Raw genomic sequence first — 23,375 nt, forward strand, 5'->3', positions numbered from 1 at the left:
CTGAGAGGTTCTATCAACGTTTTAAAAATGTTTTAATGTGTTTATCAGGATACATTGACTGCTTCCAAAAAGGATGTAAGAGGAATAGTTTCCTGAGTGTCAACTATGTGTGGTACTTGGCATTAAGGAGCACAAGAATAGCAGTCCTCCAAGCGGTCAGTTTGCCTGCTCCACACCATTACTGGACTGGGTTCATTTGGGAGATGAACTGTTCTCTGGATATCAAAGAGTGGGAATGACTACAGATGGCATTAGCCAGAGAAATGATAGGTCATTTTTCTGAATTAAAAAAAAAAAACAAAAAAAAAACCCCAAGTGACAAGAGTGAAGAAGCCAAAGGGTCTCCAACCCCCTGTTTATATTTTCTGACCTCTCTGTTTTTTGTTTGTTTGTTTGTTTTGAGATGGAGTCTCGCTCTGTCACCCAGGCTGGAGTGCAGTGGCTGATCTCAGCTCACTGCAAGCTCCGCCTCCCGGGTTCACGCCATTCTCCTGCCTCAGCCTCCGGAGAAGCTGGGACTACAGGCGCCTGCCACCACGCCCGGCTAATTTTTTGTATTTTTTTTAGTAGAGACGGGGTTTCACCGTGTTAGCCAGGATGGTCTCAATCTCCTGACCTCGTGATCTGCCCGCCTCGGCCTCCCAAAGTGCTGGGATTACAGGCGTGAGCCACCGCACCCGGCCGACTTCTCTTTTATCTTCCCCACATATGTGGAAGCTCAACCTGTCCAGATTTGCCACTAAACCTACAAAAATGTCTGTTTTTTACTTTCCCAATTCTGAAAAAATCCTTGGTAGAAAGGGACATAGAAGACTGATTTCGATTCCCAGATCTGTCCCTAGCCACATAGCATAAGACAAGTCATTTAGTGTCTTTTGGTCAATTTCCTCATCCTTTCTGATGGGCATAGCAATACCTGTAACAAAACAATCGCTTATTTAAAAATTCACAATTTATATGGAACTGGTTTCAAAATACAAAAGCTCCTTCAACTGCTCTGATATTTTTATATTTTTATGTCTAATGTACTGCATTATAGCACAAGTCCCATTCGTATTATAACTGCTACCTTCAATGCTGTCACAGAAAGCAATGTATCCCTATAACCATTCCCAGAGGCTGACACCTTTTGTACTCACATATGGACAATGCTGAATGCCTGCAAAGTGTAATAATCAAAAGTGTAGACTTCATTGGATTCAAAATTCTATTCTGGTGTTTATGGGCAAGGAAGTTGACCTTCCTGAGCCTCGGTTTCCTTTTCTGTAAAAGATAGGTGACAATAGAACTATTACAAGGATGAATAAGATAAGGTAAGAAAAATGTCTAACACTACTGAATGTTACCTGCTGCTTGTTAACGTGGGCTTTGCAGCACACATAACAGTAACAGTAGCAACAATCCCAGAATAGTGATGTAGCTATGCTTAATTATCAACCGCCTTGACTGTTCACTCTTATTTCATGTGTGTTTATTTTGTCTCTCAAATTAGCACCTGCAAAGAAATGAGTAGGTTTTATAATTTTCTGTTTTGTACAGTATCTAAAATGATTCCAAGCATATATTCGACAGTCTGAATTAAATACCATTTTAACTATCTGATGATTCTTCACTATTTCCATTGGTCAATAAGAGTTGAGTATGGAATATCCCAAAGCCTTATAGGTGAGCTGAACCTCAGGAATACAGCAAAAAGTTCAAAGGGGCCATAAAGATGCTGCAGCAACTAAAGGAGCTCTACTTTATGCTTTATAAATTGGAGATATGAATTATATTGCATAAGGGAGAGGGGGTTACAGGTTACAATAAGTGTTGAAAACCACTGTCATGAGTACTCAAAATAATATGTAGCCATGAAGACAAATCAATATGAATCTTAAATATCTTGCATCAAGCTATTTATTATCTCTAAATTCTAGAGTTCTCCTCCTCTATATTCTTCCTGCATCCTTTATCCTGAAGAAAAGAGATATATGCCTGGCCCTAGGATTTGGGGGTATTGTCTAACAATGTAAAAACATGTTTTTATGATTCTGAAATTCTATTAAAGGAGGATTCTTGAGCACCTGCTATGTGAGAGCATCCAATAACTCAAACATAAGCACTCATGAACCCTTGTACAAATAAATACAGAAAATTTCTTGGAAGCATCATTTTCTAAGATTTAATTCACAGGAGTTGCGGGATGTAAGTTGGCAGACCAGAAAAGATGAGTGAGAAAAAAAGAACCCAAATTTAGAAGTACAATAGAAGAAAGCCAAACCACTAGAAATCACAGTCTGGTAGCAGCTGCAGCATAGTGCCCAGCATAGCACCCCAAAAATGTATTCCTTAGGCACAGTCCTGCTGTATCCTTCCTGCAGGCGGCTCTTGTGTTTGTCGGACCACACACAGGAACATCTCCCTAATCTTGGCTAATTAGAGCAGAAATTGCAGTCTGAATCTGTGAAAAACTAGATTGCAGATTTTTGTTAAGGTTACATAGTTTAATTACTTTCAGAAATACACAGTAACTCAATTAGGGAACCAAAAAGTTTTCAGTTCTGTGTAGGGCCTGCTCCAATGAGAGAAAAACACTTTTATAATCATTGTATAGATTCACACATAAATGGCACTGTTAAAATTCAGAATCCTATACTAATTATTTACACTAGAAAAGAGATAATGAGCATATTTATTGAATGCCAGCTACTTACCAGCTATTATGATACTAATGATCACAATATCCCTGAAATGTTAGAATTTCCTACTGCCAATATTTTTCTAATAATAAGAAATCAAATTCTTAGTATGCTATAGCAGAAAAAGCACAGATTACATTTCTGATTTCTCCATCTCAGAAAAGGAGGGACGGGGTGCTGGGTATATTAAAAACTTAGCATTTAATATACCCAGTGTGAATTAGTGTTTAACACTTAATATACACCATAGAGAGAAGAGATAAGGGGAATCTGAGTACAAGGCAGCAGCAGGGTAAGATCCAAGTATGTCAGATGACCATGAGAAGGATTCACACAGATACAGGAGGCAGAACCTACTAAAACTCCTAGAGTCAAAAGGGAACCACAGTCTTTCCTGGTGGGGTTTCCATAGCCTCAGGAGGGGCAGCAGCTGATAGAGTGCTGATCTGGCCTAGATACGTCTCCATTTGTTTTACAAGACTTGTCTGGGTCTCAAAAAACAGATTTTGTGTATCTTTAAATGACCATGAGAGCTTGGGCAAGCTGCTAAGATTCTTGGGATCTCAATTTTCCATTAATAAAATTAAGAAGACAAATTAGAACTCCAGAGTAGGTAACATAATTTCATATAGTTGATCTTAAAGAATATTAGTAAATTATTGATTACTTAGAAAATAATCATAAATGTGTGTTAATTATACCACAATAAAAATAATCCTAGGCAAAATTTTGGATAAATATATACAACTTCTTGTGAAAACAAGTATTACATAACAGAAACTCATTTTAAAAGTTAGATTGTGAAATCTGAAAATATGTGTTTAAAAGCATATGAAAACTTTCACTAATGTTCAAATAAGATAAACTAGCCACACATTAATTTTGCCTCGTAATAAATATCCTTCATGTTTATCTAAGTTATAATGCAGGCTCATAATAGATGGCACAGTAATAGTTGGTTTCCTGACATAGTTACTGGACATAGTTGCCTCATTTCTCATCTACATTTTATATGACTTATATTCTATGTAAAACATAATTATTCTATATTCTACATTATATTATAATCTTGCAAGAAGAACCCCAATATTTACTATTTACTAAGCATGCTTTTTACATTTCTTATCATTTAGTTTATATTCTAAAAATAAGGAGAAGAAGGAGGAGAAGAAAAAGGAGGAGGAAGAAGAGGAGAGGGAAGAGGAGGAGGAGGAGGAGGGAGAGGAGAAGGAGAAAAAGGAGGAGAAAAAGGAGGAGGAAAAGGAGGAGAAAAAGGAGGAGGAGGAAAAGGGGGAGAAAAAGGAGAAGGGGAAGAGGAGGAAGAAGAGGAGAGGGAGGAGAAAGACGAGGAGAGAGGAGAAGGAAGAGGAGAGGGAGGAGGAGGAAGAAGAGGAGACGGAGGAGGAGGAAGAAAGAGGAGGAAGAAGGGGAGGAAGAAGAGGAGGAAGAAGAGGAGGAAGAGGAAGAAGGTGAAGGAGAAGAAGAGAAAGGTGGAGGAGGGAGGAGGAGGAGAAGGAGGAGGGTTAAACTATTTACACAGGTTATTGTACAGCTATAGTATTCATAAAATAAACTTTCTGTAAACACAGTATGGTTAAGGAATAGAAAATTCTGGTTAATTGAACACACTGGTCAAATAACAAAATCAACGTATCTATCCACTACTAATAACCCCTTCACTAAGAAAACTACTAAGTATATTCAAATCTTGGATGATTTTAAAATATACTTTAGAATTTTGCTGCACTTTCGAGTTTTTAAATATTATTTGTAGCTATTACAGAAAAACAAGCTTTTATTCCACTATTTTATGATTTTGACTAGAAATAATGCTTTTTTTGGATACATCTTTGGCTAAAGTCTGTCTAACTGCCCCCAAAAACTTAGTCTAGGTCAGTGGTTTTCAATGTTGGGTGTGTGTGTGTGTGTGTGTGTGTGTGTGTGTGTGTTTCAGCACAGAACTCTTTGCTCCAGTGAAATCTAACACAGTTTGACAATTGAGCTAAGAGAGACGTTTTATTAATTTAAATAAACTCAGTTTTAAAAATGTATTTATTACAAAGCCAGTCATAAGAATGCAGTAGATTCTACTCTGATGAACCAAAAAAAAACAAAAATGTGAAATCAGGAGATAAAGAGAAAAGTTACAGTGTGACATCAGTTTCCTTACCAATTTATTCCTATATTTCATTTTAGTTGCACAATTTCATGAAGATGCTACTTCACACCATTGAGCATTCATATACAATTTTATAGGATTTCTTAAAAAGATCAGTGCAATGCCACAAGCTTCTAATTAACAACACATTTAGAAAAATTTTTAAATGTATGTGCAAAGTGGAAGCTTTGCCCAGAAAAAAACACAAATTAAGCTTTGCTGGTTTCTAAGTGTGACAACTTTTATGTAATATATTCTAGTAGGTTTTCTTAAACAGTTTTAAATCATTGAAATATCCATGTCAATAAAGTTCAAATCAATATTAGGAGAATTCCCACAGAACTTCCAAAACATGGTGTATTATAACAATATGCTTATATTCAATCTGGTCTCTTTCAAGTATAATACTTGGACTCCACGTGGTTATTTTGTCTCCCCAGGGTAGAGAAGGGAAGAATTTTGAACTGTGCAACAAATATTTCTATAAAAAAGATAGTGACAATGACACTCAACAGAGATCACAAACTCAACTGTGTATGGAATCCCAGCAGGGAACATGAATCCGTTAAGGGGACTGCAAGAAGTCGGCTCTGAACCAGAGAGTTCATGACCCACTTCTAGGGAACTGGTCAGAACTCAGCTCTAACAAGTGTCTGTGCTGTGAAAACTCAGCAGTACGAAATTGACTTCTCAAATAGCTCCCAATAGCATTCATGCCCTTGGATAATCCTCTCCTATTGAGTGTGGGTTGAACATAGAGATTTACTTCCAATGGGAGAGTAGGAACCAGCAAACATGACAAGATGGTATTTCCAAGATAAGCTCACAAAAGACGGCCATTTCTATGCAGCTAGCACACTATCTGGCTCTTCTCAATTTTGCTTTGATAAGGCAAACTGCCATGTGATAAGTTGCCCTGTGGGGAGGCCCCTGTGAGAAAGAACTGAGGAAGACCTTTGATCAACATCCTCTAAGGAACGGAATTCCTCCAACAACCACGGGAGTCAGCTGAAATAGTCCTCTTCCAGCAGACTCTTGTGATGACTTCAACCCTACAAGATAACTTGAGGGCAGTTTTGTGGGAGACTTAGAGCCAGAGGTCCAGTTATGCTACACCTGGATTCCTTATGCACAGAAATAGAGATAATAAATACTGTTGTTTGAAACAGTAGATACCTAATACAGAATGTGAACCGATTTTCTAAATTTTCAGGAGCAGTTGGAAATCCAGATTCCAGTGTGTGAAATCTCCTGTTTCTATTTAAGTTGAAAACCAATTCGTTTAATAGCTCAATATGTCACACAGAGGAAAATAACACATCTGAAGGTTAAAGGGAATTGCAAAGCTCCAATTTTCCATTGGTATGCTAATAAGGGAAATGCCAGAGATGATGACCGAAAGTGAGCATTCATTGATAAATCTGTGGAATGAGAAAGTCTTCTAAAATACAATGAAACAACAAACTAATTTTTCTTCTAAAGTATAACATGCCAACAGAGATGGTATCTTGAAAGGTAAGAAGCTCTGGTACAAGTAGGCACAACCACCAGTAATAAAATTAGAGAAAAAAATTATAACTAAGTAATTCACCAGAAAGAGACCTTGAACCACTCAAAGCTCTAATATTAAATCTGCCTAATATTTTGCTCATGTGTTTCTACAGAATACTAATAAGCAAGCAGCAGAGGAAAACCTAAGGGATTATTTTTCCATTTTTAAATGTGAAAGACTATACTGTGGTTAACATACATGAGTTGCAAACCGCTAGGAAAAAGAGACCAATTTCTAATACAAAAATGTACTCCTGGATATAAGTCATACTAAAACATTTTAAGACAAAATATTTCTATAAATTTTTGCCACAGAATTACCATAACATCCTCTGCTCTATTACAGATGATGGCTAATCCTGTCTTACCCACTCTCAACATTTCATCTATCATTTCTAAGAGAATGAATCCCAAATAGCCATTTCTATCTCTGGCCACATCCCTGAACTATAATCCTTTATCTCAAATTGTGTTTTCTCTTAGCTATCCTACTTCTTATTCAACAACCATCTTTCTCCCCAAATTGCCTCCTCCTGAACCATTCCACCATAGCCATTTCCATTTAGTTATGAAATCTGATTAGTTGTTCTTTAACTTTAACTTAATTAGCTTAAATATTACTTCCTTTATATTTTTACAGTAATGATGCTGGTTCAAGGCTTTACAAGTTAACTCCCTAATTACTGCATTATTTTCTTCTCTTCATCTTTTTCTTTCCAACTATTTACCTCATTGTTGGTTTATTCTCCATATACATACCAATATTGAGCTCCATAAAGAATCACTGAAGAGAAATCAATTATTGGTAATAATAAATGATGGAATTTTGCCCTACATTACAAAATGTCATCACCACTTAGCTTTTAAATGCCATAATGGAATGAAATGAACTAGAAGGTATTAGGAAGGAGATCACGGGTAACCAAAAAATTATGGATAAAAGCAACTGTAATCACTTTAATGAAGTGAAAGTATGTTAATAAGTTTGCAGGCATGAAACATGGTCATGGCTTCTTGGAGACCTGGAGTTAGCTCTCCTCCCTAGCAAGATTTTCTATTTAGCATTGACTGACTATTACAGATTTCAGTAACCCTAGACCCTGCCCTGAAACCCTGGGTAGGAGTTTGGCAAATAAAGTTCTTTCAGATTACAATTTTTTTTCAATATACCAGAAGACTATTTATACAAAACCAATATTAAGGAAATAGTGCTTCATAAAGAGAATAGCCATCTTTAAACTTAATGACTTGTGGTTAAATTCTTATACAGTGAGTACTTTTAAAATAGAACACGCCCTTATAATCTTCCTATGTGACTTATACATACTGAACACTTTAAACTTGAGCATCTCCTCATCACTGATATGAAACAATTCTGAATATAATTGCTGAAATTAAATTTCCTATTTTTTCATTTGAAATAATATAAGAAATCAAAACTTACCCTAATGTTTGGCCCCCAGGATCAATAAACTGAGTTATTTAAAAGAATACAGAAATAACCTTTTTAAAAGGAGTTATTTCCCACAGACTTACCATATATTGTTCAAATCTTCAAATTAATTTTGTAAACATAAAGAATGTCAGGTATGGTCTAACATCAAGTGGAATTTATTAGAATCTAACAAACAGTTTTATACTTCAATACTAAATATCTTTAACCCTTTTACAAGTGGGGAGATACGATCCTTTTTGGCATCTGACTCTGCATATGAACAGCATGAGCAGCAGAGAGATTTGCCAAAGTCAGAAAAATCATCATGGAGTCCGTGAGATTGATCAGTCCAGGAGAAAAATATTCAAAGGTGTTGCTCCTCCAGCCTACCAATCAATTCATTCAAAACAAACTATTAGCTTATTAACATATTCCAAGAAGACATCAGTGTCTTTTGGCAAGCTAGCCTGAAAAATAACCACAAAATAATAGAACTCATTCTTCTCACCTAGGAAGTAAGTAGGACAGTTTCATAACATATACATGCTCAGGGCAAGACTACAAACTGTCCGAAAAAAAAAAAAAAAGATAGCAGGTTGAAAGAGCTGACCAGCCCAAAATCTCCTTAAGCTGATAAGCAACTTCAGCAGTCTCAGGATACAAAACCAATGTGCAAAAATCACAAGCATTCCCACACAACAATAATAGTCAAACAGCCAAATCATGAGTGAACTCCCATTCACAATTGCTACAAACAGAATAAAATACCTAGGAATCCAACTTACAAGGGATGTGAAGGACTTCTTCAAGGAGAACTACAAACCACTGCTCAAGGAAATAAGAGAGGACACAAACAAATGGAAAAACATCCCATGCTCATGGATAGAAGAATCAATATCATGAAAATGGCCATACTGCCCAAAGTAATTTATAGATTCAGTGCTATCCCCATAAAGCTACCACTGACTTTCTTCACTGAATTAGAAAAAAACTACTTTAAATTTCATATGGGACCAAAAAAGAGCCTGCATAACCAAGAAAATCCTAAGCAAAAAGAATAAAGCTGCAGGCATCACACTACCTGACTTCAAACTATACTACAAGGCTACAGTAACCAAAACAGCATGGTACTGGTACCAAAATAGAGATATAGACCAATGGAACAGAACAGAGGCCTCAGAAATAACACCATACATCTATAACCATCTGATCTTTGACAAACCTGACAAAAACAAGCAATGGGGAAAGGATTCCCTATTTAATAAATGGTGTTGGGAAAACTGCCTAGCCATATGCAGAAAACTGGAACTGGACCCCTTCCTTACACCTTATACAAAATTTAACTCAAGATGGATTAAAGACTTCAACGTAAGATCTAAAATGATAAAAACACTAGAAGAAAACCTAGGCAATACCATTCAAGACATAGGGATGGGCAAGGACTTCATGACTAAAACACGAAAAGCAATGGCAACAAAAGGCAAAATTGAAAAATGGGGTCTAATTAAACTAAAGAGCTTCTGCACAACACAAGAGACTATCATCAGAGTGAACAGGCAACCTACAGAATGGAAGCCCATCGACAAAGGGCTAATATCCAGAATGTACAAGGAACTTAAATTTACAAGAAAAAAACAAACAACCCCATCAAAAAATGGGCAAAGGATATGAACAGACAATTATCAAAAGACATTTATGCAGTCAATGAACATGAAAAAAGCTCATCATCACTGGTCATTAGAGAAATGCAAATCAAAACCACAATGAGATACCATCTCATGCCAGTTAGAATGGCAATCATTAAAAAGTCAGGAAGCAACAGATGCTGGAGAGGATGTAGAGAAATAGGAACGCTTTTACACTGTTGGTGGGAGTGTAAACTAGTTCAACCATTGTGGAAGACAAAAGTGTGGCAATTCCTCAAGGATCTAGAACCAGAAATACCATTTTACCCAGCAATTCCATTACTGGGTATATACCCAAAGGATTATAAATCATAGTTCTACTATAAAGACACATGCACATGTATGTTTATTGCAGCACTGTTCACAATAGCAAAGATTTGGAACCAACCCAAATTCCCATCAATGGTAGACTGGATAAAGAAAATATGGCAAATGTACACTATGGAATACTATGCAGCCATAAAAAAGGATGAGTTCATGTCCTTTGCAGGGATATGGATGAAGCTGGAAATCATCATTCTCAGCAAACTAACACAGGAACAGAAAACCAAACACCACGTGTTCTCACTCATAAGTGGGAGTTGAACAATGAGAACACTTGGACACAGGGAGGGGAACATCACACACCAGGCCCTGTTGCAGGGTGGGGGGCCAGGGGAGGGAGAGCATTAGGAGAAATACCTAATGTAGATGACAGGTTGATGGGTGCAGCAAACCACCATGGCACATGTATACCTACGTAACAAACCTGCACATTCTGCACATGTACCTCAGAACTTAAAGTACAACAACAACAACAGAAAAAAAAAAAGAGCTTACCACAAACTTTGGCAGCGCTGCTCACTAAGTCAAAAGGCTTGGTAAAAACTTCAGCCATCCCTTTTTGAACCTTTGTTTACTTGAGGAATAAAAGTCACATCTAACGACTCAGAGATGTTCCTTAGAGTAAGCGCAAGCCTGATTTAGCTCTACTCCAACAAAACCTAAAACCAAGCCTTCAGAAGGCCAAGATGATCTGCCAGTAATTTAATCGCCTGCTGGAATAACGTTCAACGCTCTTCAGAGGGAAATGGCGGAAGGCAAAGCCTACATGATGTGTCATACGTAGTATGTCCAGCAAATTAGCAGAGAAACATGAAAATATGACTCAGTCTAGAGAAAAGTCAGCAGAAACAGACCCGGTTCCAAGGCAGATTTTAGAATTAGTGGACAAGAATTGATAAAACGGAAAAGAACCTATGATCAATGTTAAACTACAGGAAAAGATGAATGTATGAGTAATGAGAGATGGGGATCTCAGAAGAGATATGGAAAATGTAAAAGTAATCAAAATCCTAAAACTGATAAAAAGCAGTATCTGAAATAAAACATGTAACTAGCTGCAAAAAAAAGCCTTTGACAAGATTTAACACCCATTTCAAATAAAAATCCTTGATAAAGAGGAATAGATGGATACTTCCTTGCAGACACACACCCCTCCCTCTCTCAGTCTTAGAGTCAGCATCTTACTTGATAGAGAAACATTACTGGCATTTCTGCTAAAATCAAAAACAAGGCAAAGATGTCGAATATTCACCTTTTCAATACTATTTAACTGAAGGTGTTAACCAATTCAATTAGACACGAAACAGGAAGAAATGAAACTATCTCTATTTGTAGATAACATGATAGTATACCCAGGAATGGCTAGAGAACCAATGGTTAAAATGATAAAAGAATCAGATAATGTAGCAGATATAAACTTAGGATGCTAAAAAAGAATCAATACTTCTTACAGAGTAAGACAAAATGCAAGACAAAACTCAATCCACAATACCATCAATAAAAAAATACTCAAAAATGAACTTCAAACCCTTTATGAACAAAATTATAAAAATATCCTTAAAAGATATAAATGGAGACTTATATAAATTAAAAACACCCCTTGTTATTGTTTTAAAAGTCTCAAATATCAAGATGTTAGTTATGTCAAAGTTAATTCATAAACTTAATGTGATCACAATAAAAATCTTTTTTCTGGAGCTACACAAGTTGCAGTGCAGTTTAAATAGAAAAATTGATATGCAAGAATAACTAGAAAACAGTCAAAGAAAAGAGCTTTAAAGGAAAAATAGCTTTACCTGATATTTACATATGCTACAAAGCCTCCAAAAGTAAAACAATGTGCATACTAGTGCATGAATTGACAAGCCAATGGAACAGAGTAAGTTCTGAAATAGACTCAATAACATAGAAATTTAGCATATGATAAAGGCGGCCTCTTGAACTGCTGGGTCAAAGACACACTTTTAAATAAATCATGTTGGCATAATTATCATCTATTTGGGAAAAGATAATATTAGATCTGTTCATCATGCCATACATAGCGTATGACTCTATTTAGTACTCTAGAAAAGGCAAAGCTATAGGACTAGACAACAGATCTGTGATTTCTGGAGGCTGGGAGATGGGGAGAAAAGTTGACTCTGAGGGGGTAGCAGGAGAATTTTGGGGATGATGGAGTTGTTCAATATGAACTTTCCTGGTGAACACATGACTATGCATTTGATAAAATTCAGAACTAGACACAACAGACGTTTTTGGTATATAAATTTACAAAAACAGATTGTAGGTAAAGATGGAATTCAGACAGTGTCAAACAAATCTATCTGTATTATAAATAAATCTCATGGTCACACTGAGTAGATCCAGGGAATAAAACTGACCTAAGTAACTTTGAAAACAGGATTTTGTCTGAACATTGTAAGGCTAAAGACAAAAAGAAATCTACACAACATTGGATTGAAGTTGATGCATTTGTTTTTCCTGGGGCATGGTTTAGCATTTCTGCAACTATACGCATGCCAGGGTTGAACAAATGTGTAAATGAAATGCATTGCAGACAATGAGATCCAGATTTAGCATTGCCAGAGAAAGAAGTTACAAATAAGGAAAGAGAGAAGGCTAGAATAAATCCAGTAGTGCTGGGCTGGAGTGAAAGGTATCAGTATGGACTGATGGTTTTGTTATATATGCATATAGCTAAATACAGAGATCAGTATGTGTGTGAATGCATGGATTGGTGAAATGGTTTGGCTGTGTCCCCACCCAAATCTCATCTTGAATTACCATGTGTTGTGGGAGGGACACAGTGGAAGGTAATTGAATCATGGGGGCAAGTCCTTTCATGCTATTCTTGTGACAGTGAATAAGTCTCACGAGATCTGATGGTTTTAAGAAGGAGAGTTTCCCTGCACAAGCTCTCTTCTCCTGTTTGCTGCCATACAAAACATGTCTTTCACCTTCCACCATGATTGTGAGGACTCCCCAGCCATGTAGAACTTTAAGTCCAATAAACCTCTTTCTTTTAGAAATTGCCCAGTCTTGGGTATGTCTTTATCAGCAGTGTGAAAACCGACTAATACAGTTGGTATACGTACATATATTTCTTAGCTCTATCTATTGAATAGGACTAAAAGCAGTGACACCCAGTAGCAATGAGCATACCTAGCAAACAGATTTTTGTTTCTTACTACCATTTTCCAGTAAAAGAAACCAGGGCTCCTTGTAGAAGTGGTCATTCTAGAGGAAGAACAGGAAAACTATACAAGAGAACCCTGGATGATTTGGGGTGCCAGAAAGTAAAAGTGCCAAAACGCAACAACAACCATCACCACCACCAAAAATCATCAGTTTTTGTCAAAACGGCACAGAAGCCAATGTGAAAAAGCTCCCAAAGTTGGAACATCCTGTGCATTAAAATAAAAGATATATTATTGTAATAATACTATACCTATGAGTCTATATTGGTTACATAAATAACTGAATAAACTGGGAAAAGGAACTCTTATAAAAAAAATTTCAATTGATATATATAGGAAGAAAGAGGAAAGTAAAAAATTACCAGTGGGACACCACAGTAAAATCTGCTACAGGCAATATCCACTGATGAGTACTAAATGTGTCAACAAAAGTGTAAGCAGAAACAGGCTATTTGCATAAATCTCAAAGTATCCTACCCTAATATTTGTTAATTACAACAGGAAAAAAGTAACTTCATGGTGAGGAAATCTGGCAGATGCCACCTTAACCAAATGATCAAGGTTAACATCACTAGCAACATGACATGTACATCTGGTATGATACACTGAGAAGGGCATATCACTTCTGTGGTATCTTTTCCGATAATGCACCACCTCAACCTATTCACTGGAAAACTACAGACGAACTCAAGTTGAGAAACATTTTAAAAAATGAGTGACAAGTACCGTTCAAAATTGCTAAGGTTACAAAACTCAAGGATATATATTGAATGCTCAATAGGAGAAGGGTAAGACATGAGAACTAAATTCAGTGTAGAATCCTAGATTGGATCCTGGAAAAGAAAAAGAAACTAGTAAAAAAAAAAAAAGAAAAAACTGGTAAAAAAAAAAATCAAATAAAATTTGTAATTCAGTTAATAGTACATACCAATGTTAATTTCTTAGTTTTGATAATTTTCCTATGGTTATGTAAGATGTTAACTTAAAGGGAAGTGGAGAAAAGTATATATGAGGACATTCCACTTTTGTGTATCTTCTGCATTAAAAAAATGCCATAAAGTCAAAGAAAAATTACAAATTGGGAGAAAATACTTGCAATACATCACAGATAAAGAGCTAATCTCCCTAAAGTGTAAAGAGCTTCCAAAAATTGAGGCAGAGAGGATGAGCAAAAGACAGGAACAATCTATTTAAAATGGTTTAAGAATGGTCCTTATGCAGACGAAACACTTCACTCAGAAAAAATGCAGAGTAACACCACACAGAAACACTATTTCTCATCTATCAAAATGAGAAAGATTATGTTGGCCAGGCTGTGGGGAAACAGACACTTTTAAATATCACTTTTAAATATCTTCTCTTCTCCATAAAGTTTGGCACATTTGGAATGCCAAATGTGCCAAACTTTATGGAGAAGAAATTGGTGATATCTTTAAATAGGTGTATATATATATATAAATAAATATATATGCTTTTACTCTTTTATTCAGCAATTCTACCTCAAGAACTTTATCCTGAAAACACACTTTTGAAACACATTGCAAAAGCATTGAAAACTATGAATATGCCCAAATAGAAAAGACTGGTAGAATAATTATGATATTATATGATAAATATGAATAAATTATGATACAATTACACAATTGAGTATTATACAGCTATAAAAAGTAATTAGTAAACTCCATGAAGCGATATGAAATAATTTCCAAGATGTATTATTAAGTGAAAAATGTGAAGAGAAAAATAATACATATCCAAGTGCTGTCAAGGATGTGCAGCAACAAAAACTCATTCATTGCTGGTGAGAAAGTAAAATAGGTGACATTTTGAAAGACAATGCAGCAGTTTTTACAAAAGTAAATTAGGCTTACTATAAGATCCAGCAACTATGCTTCTAGATCTTTACCCCAATCAGCCAAACTACAACCACACAAAAACCTGCACAACATATTTGTAGCAGCAGCTTCATTCATAGTTGTAAAAAAATTGGAATGAGCCAAAATGTCTTTTAATAAGTGAATTTTTAAAAAGTAAGAACTGTGGTCCATCTGTATAATGGTTTACTATTCAGTGATAAAAAGAAATAAGCTATCAAGCTACAACAAAAATGAAGAATCCTTTAATGCCTATTACTAAGTCTATGAAATTTAAAAATATCTACAATAGTGTACCCTTTGTATAAGAAAGGTAAAATAAAAAAATAAATATGCTTATTTTTGCCAAAGGAAACACAAGAAGAATAAACCAGAGAATTATATAGGTTTTCTATAAGGGCTTAGAGTAGGGAAGGGAGGGGGGTAAAAGAGTGAAAGGATTAGGGAATGGACCCATACTTCCTTTAGTATATTTTTTAAGTATAATTTTGACCTTGAGAGCGCATAAATGTTGTATTTAGCATACAAAAATAAGTTAAAAAGGAAACCCAGAACTGAATGCAAACAAAAATAAATGTACTCAACTATATTTCACAATAATAAATAATGACACTGAAAAAGAAAGAACTAGTCCAAGGAGCTTCTGATCAAAGTATTTTGACAATACAACTTCACTATCAGTGTGGGGAGGGGATTCAAATACTTCCTGAACTTTTATTAGTAGGTTGGTTTTTGTAGTGGCATGGGGTGGCCATTCTGGGGTTACTTTATGTATATTATGTTGGACAATGAATAGATCTGTTGATATTGTTGAGAGCTAGGACACTCACATGGAAGAAAGGAGATACAAATATGGAATGAAAGAAAGCACAGAAGAATCCTGTGAGATTGGCTTGAAGTTATCTACATAAAATAATTACAGAAAGTAATTTCATAAAGAGAAAAGGGTAAATATATATTTATATTCTATCTCTGTCCACTGAAAGGGCCTCCAAGTAATAACATCTCAGGAGCAGCAAGCACTCTCAGAACCCAAATACTGGTTTCTAACATAGAATTTCCCATTAGAAGGAACAAAATATCCAGGAATCTTTGAAGAAATTGATTATTCCAGGTCTGATGTGGGGAAAATATAAGATGAGCCTGGGTCATCTTATTAAACCAGAAAGTAAGGAAGTTATTTTTAAGAATGATGGAGGTATTTCAAAAGGAATGGGGACTCATCATGAAGGGGCACCTACTGGCCATATCTGGGACAATTTGAGTATCAAAATAAATGATAACAATTATAACCTATTGCATAAAATAGGAATCTATTATTCCATGTTAGATTAGATTAGATTAGATTAGATTAGATTAGATTGATAGATAGATAAACTGAAGAGGAGGGAATCTTCATTACATAAGATGATAACTGATGAATGTGGAGTAGGTTGAAAATCTGTCATTTTAAACCACCACAGAAAAAATTAACTGGGGCAGCTGGGCACGGTGGCTCATGCCTTTAATCCAAGCACTTTGGGAGGCTGAGGAGGATAGATTACCTGAGGTCAAGAGTTCGAGACCAGCCTGGCCAAAATGGCGAAACCCTGTCTCTACCAAAAAATACAAAAATTAGCTAGGTATCGTAGCGCATGCCTGTAATCCCAGCTACTCGGGAGGCTGAGGCAGGAGAATTGCTTGAACCCAGGAGGTGGAGGTTGCAGTGAGCCAAGATCACACCATTGCACTCCAGCCTGGGAGATAGAGTGAGACTCCATCTCAAAAAAAAAAAATTAACTGGAGCGAGAAACATCAATGGATACTAAATCTACTAGGGAAAATGGATTTTTAAAAAACAGGATATTTGCATGACCTAAAAATATCTCTCACAAGTTGCTTATTAGTTGCTAGGAAAAAATAATAGCAATACAGTGGACGAACATAAAAGCTAAGACTATAAAACTTTTAGAAGAAACATAGGACAATATCATCACACCACTGAGGTTGACAGATTCAGATTTCTTAGCTAGGACTCAAAACATACTAACAAAAAAGTTATAAACTAGATTTCCTCAAAATTAAAAGCTTCTGCTCATCACATAACACTACTAATAAAACAAAAAGCAAGCCACAGCCTGGAAAAAATGTTCACAATATATCTGACAAATGACTTATAAACAATATATAAGGAACTCTTGCAATTCAATAACAAGAAAACAAACACTCAAATTAAAAAGTGGCAAAAGATAAAAAGTGGGCCAAGGATATGAACAGACATTGCTCAAGAGAAGACATTTATGTGGCCAACAAACATGAAAAAAGCTCATCATCACTGGTCATTAGAGAAACGCTCATCAAAACCACAATGAGATACCATCTCATGCCAGTTTGAATGGCGATCATTAAAAAGTCAGGAAATAACAGATTCTGGAGAGGATGTGGAGAAATAGAAATGCTTTTACACTGTTGGTGGGAATGTACATTAGTTCAACCATTGTGGAAGACAGTGTGGTGATTCCTCAAGGATCTACAATCAGAAATACCATTTGACCCATCAATCCCATTACTGGGTATATGCCCAAAGGATTACAAATCATTCTACTACAAAGACACATGCACACGTATGTTTACTGCAGCACTATTCACAATAGCAAAGACTTGGAACCAACCCAAATTCCCATCGATGATAGACTGGATAAAGAAAATGTGGCACATATACATCATGGAATACTATGCAGCCATAAAAAAGAATGAGTTCATGTCCTTTGCGGGGACATGGATGAAGCTGGAAACCATCATTCTCCGCAAACAAACACAGCAACAGAAAACCAAACACCGCATATTCTCACTCATAAGTGGGAGTTGAACATGAGAATACATGGACACAGAGAGGGGAACATCACACACCAGGGCCTGTCGGGGGGTGGGGGGCAAGGGGAAGGAGAGCATTAGGAGAAATACCTAATGTAGATGATGGGTTGATGGGTGCAGCAAGCCACCATGGTACACATATACCTATGTAACAAACCTGCATGTTCTGCATATGTATCCCAGCACTTAAAGTATAATAAAAAAGTGACAAAAGATGTGTACAGTTATATGACAAAAGAAGATATATAAATGTTTAATAACCACATAAAATATGCTGAATATTATTGGTTTTCAGGGAAATGCAAATTAAAATTACAAATTACACCACACATCCGCTAGAATGGCTCACCTTGAAAAGGCTGACAACATAAAATATTGGCAGATGTGGACCAACTGGAAGTCTTAACCTTACCAATAGTATGCTATGGGAAATTGTTTAGCACATTTTTCTTAAAATGCTTGTTAAAAGACTTAGCAATAGCACACAAATATGTTATCAAAATAAATGAAAGCATATATTCTTTAAAAGAATTGTACAAGAATATTCATAGCAGTTTTACTCACTCCAAAATTGGAAACAACAATTTCTACCAACAGATATGTGGATATAAAAATTATATGACATATTCATACAATGGAATGCCACTCAACAATAAAAAGAAATGAATTATTGATGCATAAAACAAGGATGAATCGTTAAAGTATCCAACTGTACACTTAAAATCTACAGACTTTAAAAAATTGTTTAATTTGCATGCAATAAAGTTAACAACAAAATCTTGACCCTTCTTGTTATGCTCATTTTTACTCTTTGTCTCTGCATCTCACTGTGTCCTGGGTTTTAGGAGTTTGCTGCTTCTATAGTCTTAGGGGTGTACTTTAAGAAATAAAATAATGCAAGTACAAAATTAGGCACCGGGCCTCATTAAATTGCATTAGCTTTCTGGTAAACCATACAGAGTGCTAAACTCTTTGCAAGGGAGCTAGTGTCACTAACAGCTGTTGTAAACTAGAAAAACAAAAGATAAAAAGAATTTTAACTGGAAAGAGGTGCCTTTGGGAAAGAGGTTCCATTGGCCAAGAGCCAAGGGAAGCAGGGAGTAGCTCACAGGAAAGAGGTTAGCCTCAGATAAAGTAATGAGAGAAAATATAAAAATTAAGAGGAGTGGTATCTTCATCTTGTTGTCTTGGCTGAAACAGAAAAGCAAAGAGAGACAACCAGCAGCTGTGTACAGAAGGGAACAGAGTAGGGGTGGGAGGTAGAAGTACTATCTGCTTTTGGAAAAACCTCATTGATTGGGATGGGGAGTGAGGATCACGACAGAGAATCTGTTTCGTATTTTTATTTTCTGGGCAGCACGGATAGTCAGGATACAACATTGCTCTCACCACTTAGAAATGTGGCACAAACTATGAGTGAACTCTGATGAGAGAAACTGACATTTCTGATACGTTAGGAAATCTGGTTATTAAACAAATCCCAAAAGGGGAGGGAGCTTCCCAATAATGAAAAGGTAAGTCATATGTGCTGACTATATATTCTGCTTTTCACAAATAGCTCTGATATATTCCTTTTGTTCCAATATCATGTTTGGTTTAGCATTTTAGTGGTTGAAGTTATCCCCACCTGGACAATAAATCATATGATCACCTAAGAATAATGTTGCTAGAAAGGTTAACCATGATAGCAAATGTAAAAATGTTGATACATGATAGACATTCAGTTACTGTTAGTTGTTCCTGTAACTCTCCTTAGAACCCTTTCATCAGTAGTACCCTCATAAGCATCTGCAGTTTTCCCCCGCAAAGAGTTGAGGTTTTCTTGTTTTGTTTTCTGACAAAGCATAGAAAAGCTCTTTGTCCATAGATTTTACTTAGTTCTCTTCAATTTTTTAGTTAATTTACTTGCCATTATTGAAATACACTATTATCATGCTTGACACAGTGGTTGATTTTAAATTTTTCAAAGCTTTTACATGGATACTGTGGTTAGTTTTAAAATCACAAAATAAACATTTTGAATAGCTTAATTTTTTGCTCCCCAGACAATAAATTCATCATCTGTAATTTAACACGATATTTAAGAGACGTTAGGCCAGGTGAGGTGGCTCATGCCTGTAACTCCAGAACTTTGGGAGCCTGATGGATCGCTTGAGGCCAGGTGTTTGAGACCAGCCTGGGCAACATAGTGAGGCCTCGTGTTTATTAAAAACATTTTGATTAAAAATAAATTAAATGAAAAATAATACTAAAATAATTTTAATTAAAATTTTAAATTAAAACTTTTAAATTAAAATTGCATTTATTAGGTTTTAACACCTTACATTTAAAGATGTTATTGATTGCTTATTTCTTGAAAAGTTGAGAAGATACACATTCCCTGCAAATAGGGCTGATTGATTTGCACTAAGAAATAGTATGTTCCTCTCTGGTTGAGAAAAAAGTTAAAATGAACAACTCCCATGAGCTTTAAGGAATATTTTCTTTTTAGACAAAAGTGACAAATGACCTAAAGAAATAAAAAAAATTGTTATTTTCTGATTATTGGCAAACAGCTTAAAGTGTGAAGCTCCTAAAAAGAAAATTATTTTTGCCCTATTGAGAATTTAAAAGTTACACATACACAGAGACACATTTCAGTGCGCAATGAAACTAATAATTTAAATAAATGTTAATTATTTAGAAATTACCCAGAAAAAGTTTTGTGGCTTGTCTATGAATCATTGCTACATTTGATGAACAGTTGCTACAGCTACTAGTCTTTAAATTTTTTGTGATTGAATATCTCACAGCAGCACAATTCAGTTACCCCACTACTTTCTCCTGTATAGTTGTTGCTGTGCTAAGTCCTTTCATAAACAGTATGTAACTCATTTAATCTGCAAACTAACCCAGAAAGAAAAGCAGACTTTTCCCATTTTTTTTTTTTGCAGATAGAGAAATTGTTTCAAAAATTCTGTCATTTTCATAGTTTGGTAGTTGACTTTTCTGAAAACAGTTTATTTATTTATATATTTATTTATTTATTTATTTATTTTTTATTTTTTGAGACTGAGTCTCATTCTGTCACCTAGGCTGGAGTGCAGTGTCGCAATCTCCGCTCACTGCAGCCTCAGCCTCCTGGGTTCAAGCGATTGCCTCAGCCTCCCGAGTACCTGGGATTACAGGTGCCCCCTACCAAGCCAGGCTAATTTTTTTTTTCGTATTTTTACTGGAAGTGGGGTTTCACCATGTTGGCCAGGCTGGTCTCAAACTCCCGGCCTCAAATGAGCCACCCACCTAATCCTCCCAAAGTGCTGGGATTACAGGCATGAGCCACTGTGCCCAGCCAGTTTTGATTATTTATGACAGAATGAGAATGTAAGTTAGTTATTCCTAGAATGGCCACTGATCTGTTTTGTGAAATTTCCTGAACAAAGCTATTGAAGATCAGTTAAGTTAGCCAACATGTGAAATCAAAAGCAAATCAAACATGCTGTGCTTTAAATTCCCCCTTCCTGGGCTTCAAGTACACTGTATGCTCAAGAACATCACCTGGCTCATATTAGGGCTAGAAAAGTACTACATTCTTCTGAAGATTGCCTGCTCCAATGGTAATTCAGATTAGAAAATAAGAGATGGAGATAATGTGAATCCAAAAATGCATCTTTTATCAGTATTATGATGGCTCTGAAATTACCTCTCTACTATCCAAGAATCCATATATAATTTAAATCAGTCTTTGACTGAGAAAATTATAAAACTACATATTTTCAATATCAGGACCTTGTACTGTTTTGAAAGCTCAGTAGAAGAGAGGCAATCTGGTAGAGCCAGGGGAACTCCCACCTTAAATCACAATGGAAATGTACATTTTTAGAGGCTTCATCAGAGCTGAGCAGATTAAGACTCACAGAGCAATTCACATTCCAGAAAACCAGCAAAGAGAAATTCCACTAAGAAGACTTCAGCATAACGTTCAGTAAATCGTTTCCTTAAATGGAGATTGAATTTAGGTTTTTAAAACCCCAAGATATTTTATAATATTTTAACGGTGTACGTTTGCCAAAACCAAAACAAATCAAAACCTACATGTAAAGTTAATGAATGCTCTTTCATAGGTCCATTTTAAAATACGATTACAATCAACAATCATTCAAATGTCTTTTCTTTTGACCAATGTCAAAATATATTTGAAAGGGAGCCTCAGAAACTATTAGACTATGTTGTGAAATCTTTCCCCCACGTGAATTCTTACACTCTGCTACAGAACTGGGACCTGTTCATCTCGTTGAACAGACTACCAAATCCTCCACACCACTATTGGACTCTGGGGAAGAAAAGTGATAACATGGAAGCCTGGGATCCATCACTCCATCATAATAGTGTTCTCATTGTAAGTGCATATATATAGACACTCCATCATAATAATGATCTCATTGTAAGTGCATATATATATATATATATATATATATATATATATGGGCCTAAAAAATGACCTGTGTAGAAGTTAAAAAATTAACATTTGCTCTGACTTAAGGGTACTACTAATTATACACACTCTATGGATTGGAGACTGTATCAAATGGATTCTTCTAAAATCTTGCTATTTATGATTTGTCCTATCTGGAGAAATCATGAGATGTTTCCACAAATAAATGAGCAAATATCTCACAGTCTATGAAAAGAAGTCACAATTTATATACTGTTTCAATTTAATCTCTTCAAGGTATTTCATGTCAAGTACTAGTCAATCATGACAACAGAACTGTAGGTCATTACATAGAAACTAGTTTTCATAAAAATTCTTCTTCGATGGCACTATCCCCAATCTTTCAATACTCCGGTTAGTTTGCTAATTCCTGGTTTATCAATGTTCCAATGACAATGCAGATTCTAAACTGCAAAAAAATCTCTAGTTGTCGTCTGACTAGTTCCTAAATACAATAGGTGGATCGCTTCCCTTGATTGTGAAATTATACTTCCACCTAAGGCTGTTCCTGTAGTCTTAAGTTTGCATTTTCAGTTTCACAGAATAATTGAACTGTTGACTCACATGAAGATTTGTATCACCTAAAATCCTCAGATATTTCACATGAAGTGTTGTCAAATATAATTGACCAAGTCCAATGCTTTTACATTGATTTTTGAATTTTTCCTTTCATTCTAGTTCAATTTATTTTGTTGACTTGGATTTCTTCTTCCATCATATGAAATTGCCAGCTCTGTCATCTAACTTCAAGTCATTTGCCAAGCTTTATGTCATCCCAAATTTAATAAGCTTTATCTTTAGTCATACAGCAGAAAGATGTACCTTCCAGTGAGAACATTTGAAAGATCAATGGTAACTGGTGTGGAAGATATTTTGGGGAGGGGGCGATAGTTCTATAAATACCCTGGCAATTAGGCTATGTTGATATCTACCTCCATGCTCATAAAGCAACTATTTCTAAAACTTTCTGGAAATTAGGAATGACTAAAAACAAAGGCCTTTTTGATTTGGAATCCAAGACTGAAAAGGCCAAGAGTGTGACAGGATCTGATTGGGTGATCTTTTCTTAAAGTCATCCTTTTTAAAGGTGAACCTGATGAGCTGTCCTGAATAAGTTAATATGAAAACATTTTTCTTGTAGATTGT

At 35.8% G+C, this 23,375-nt stretch overlaps 1 protein-coding gene and 1 long non-coding RNA gene across 5 annotated transcripts in view; both read right to left on the bottom strand.

Annotated features, from left to right (window-relative positions):
* LOC107987079 (uncharacterized) overlaps positions 1-2,272 on the bottom strand; it is a 47,614-nt gene extending 45,342 nt beyond the window's left edge. The window contains exons 1-2 of the long non-coding RNA XR_001746718.1: positions 1,347-2,272; positions 1,140-1,263 (exon numbers count right to left, since the gene is read on the bottom strand). This is a non-coding gene — a long non-coding RNA (uncharacterized LOC107987079). The remainder of the gene's footprint in view (positions 1-1,139; positions 1,264-1,346) is intronic.
* The window catches only part of TRPM3 (transient receptor potential cation channel subfamily M member 3), a 917,912-nt gene that overhangs the window by 798,723 nt on the left and 95,814 nt on the right, over positions 1-23,375 (bottom strand). The window lies entirely within an intron of this gene.

Source organism: Homo sapiens, chromosome 9, assembly GCF_000001405.40.
Source record: "Homo sapiens chromosome 9, GRCh38.p14 Primary Assembly".
In the NCBI taxonomy this organism is placed as follows: Eukaryota; Metazoa; Chordata; class Mammalia; order Primates; family Hominidae; genus Homo; species Homo sapiens.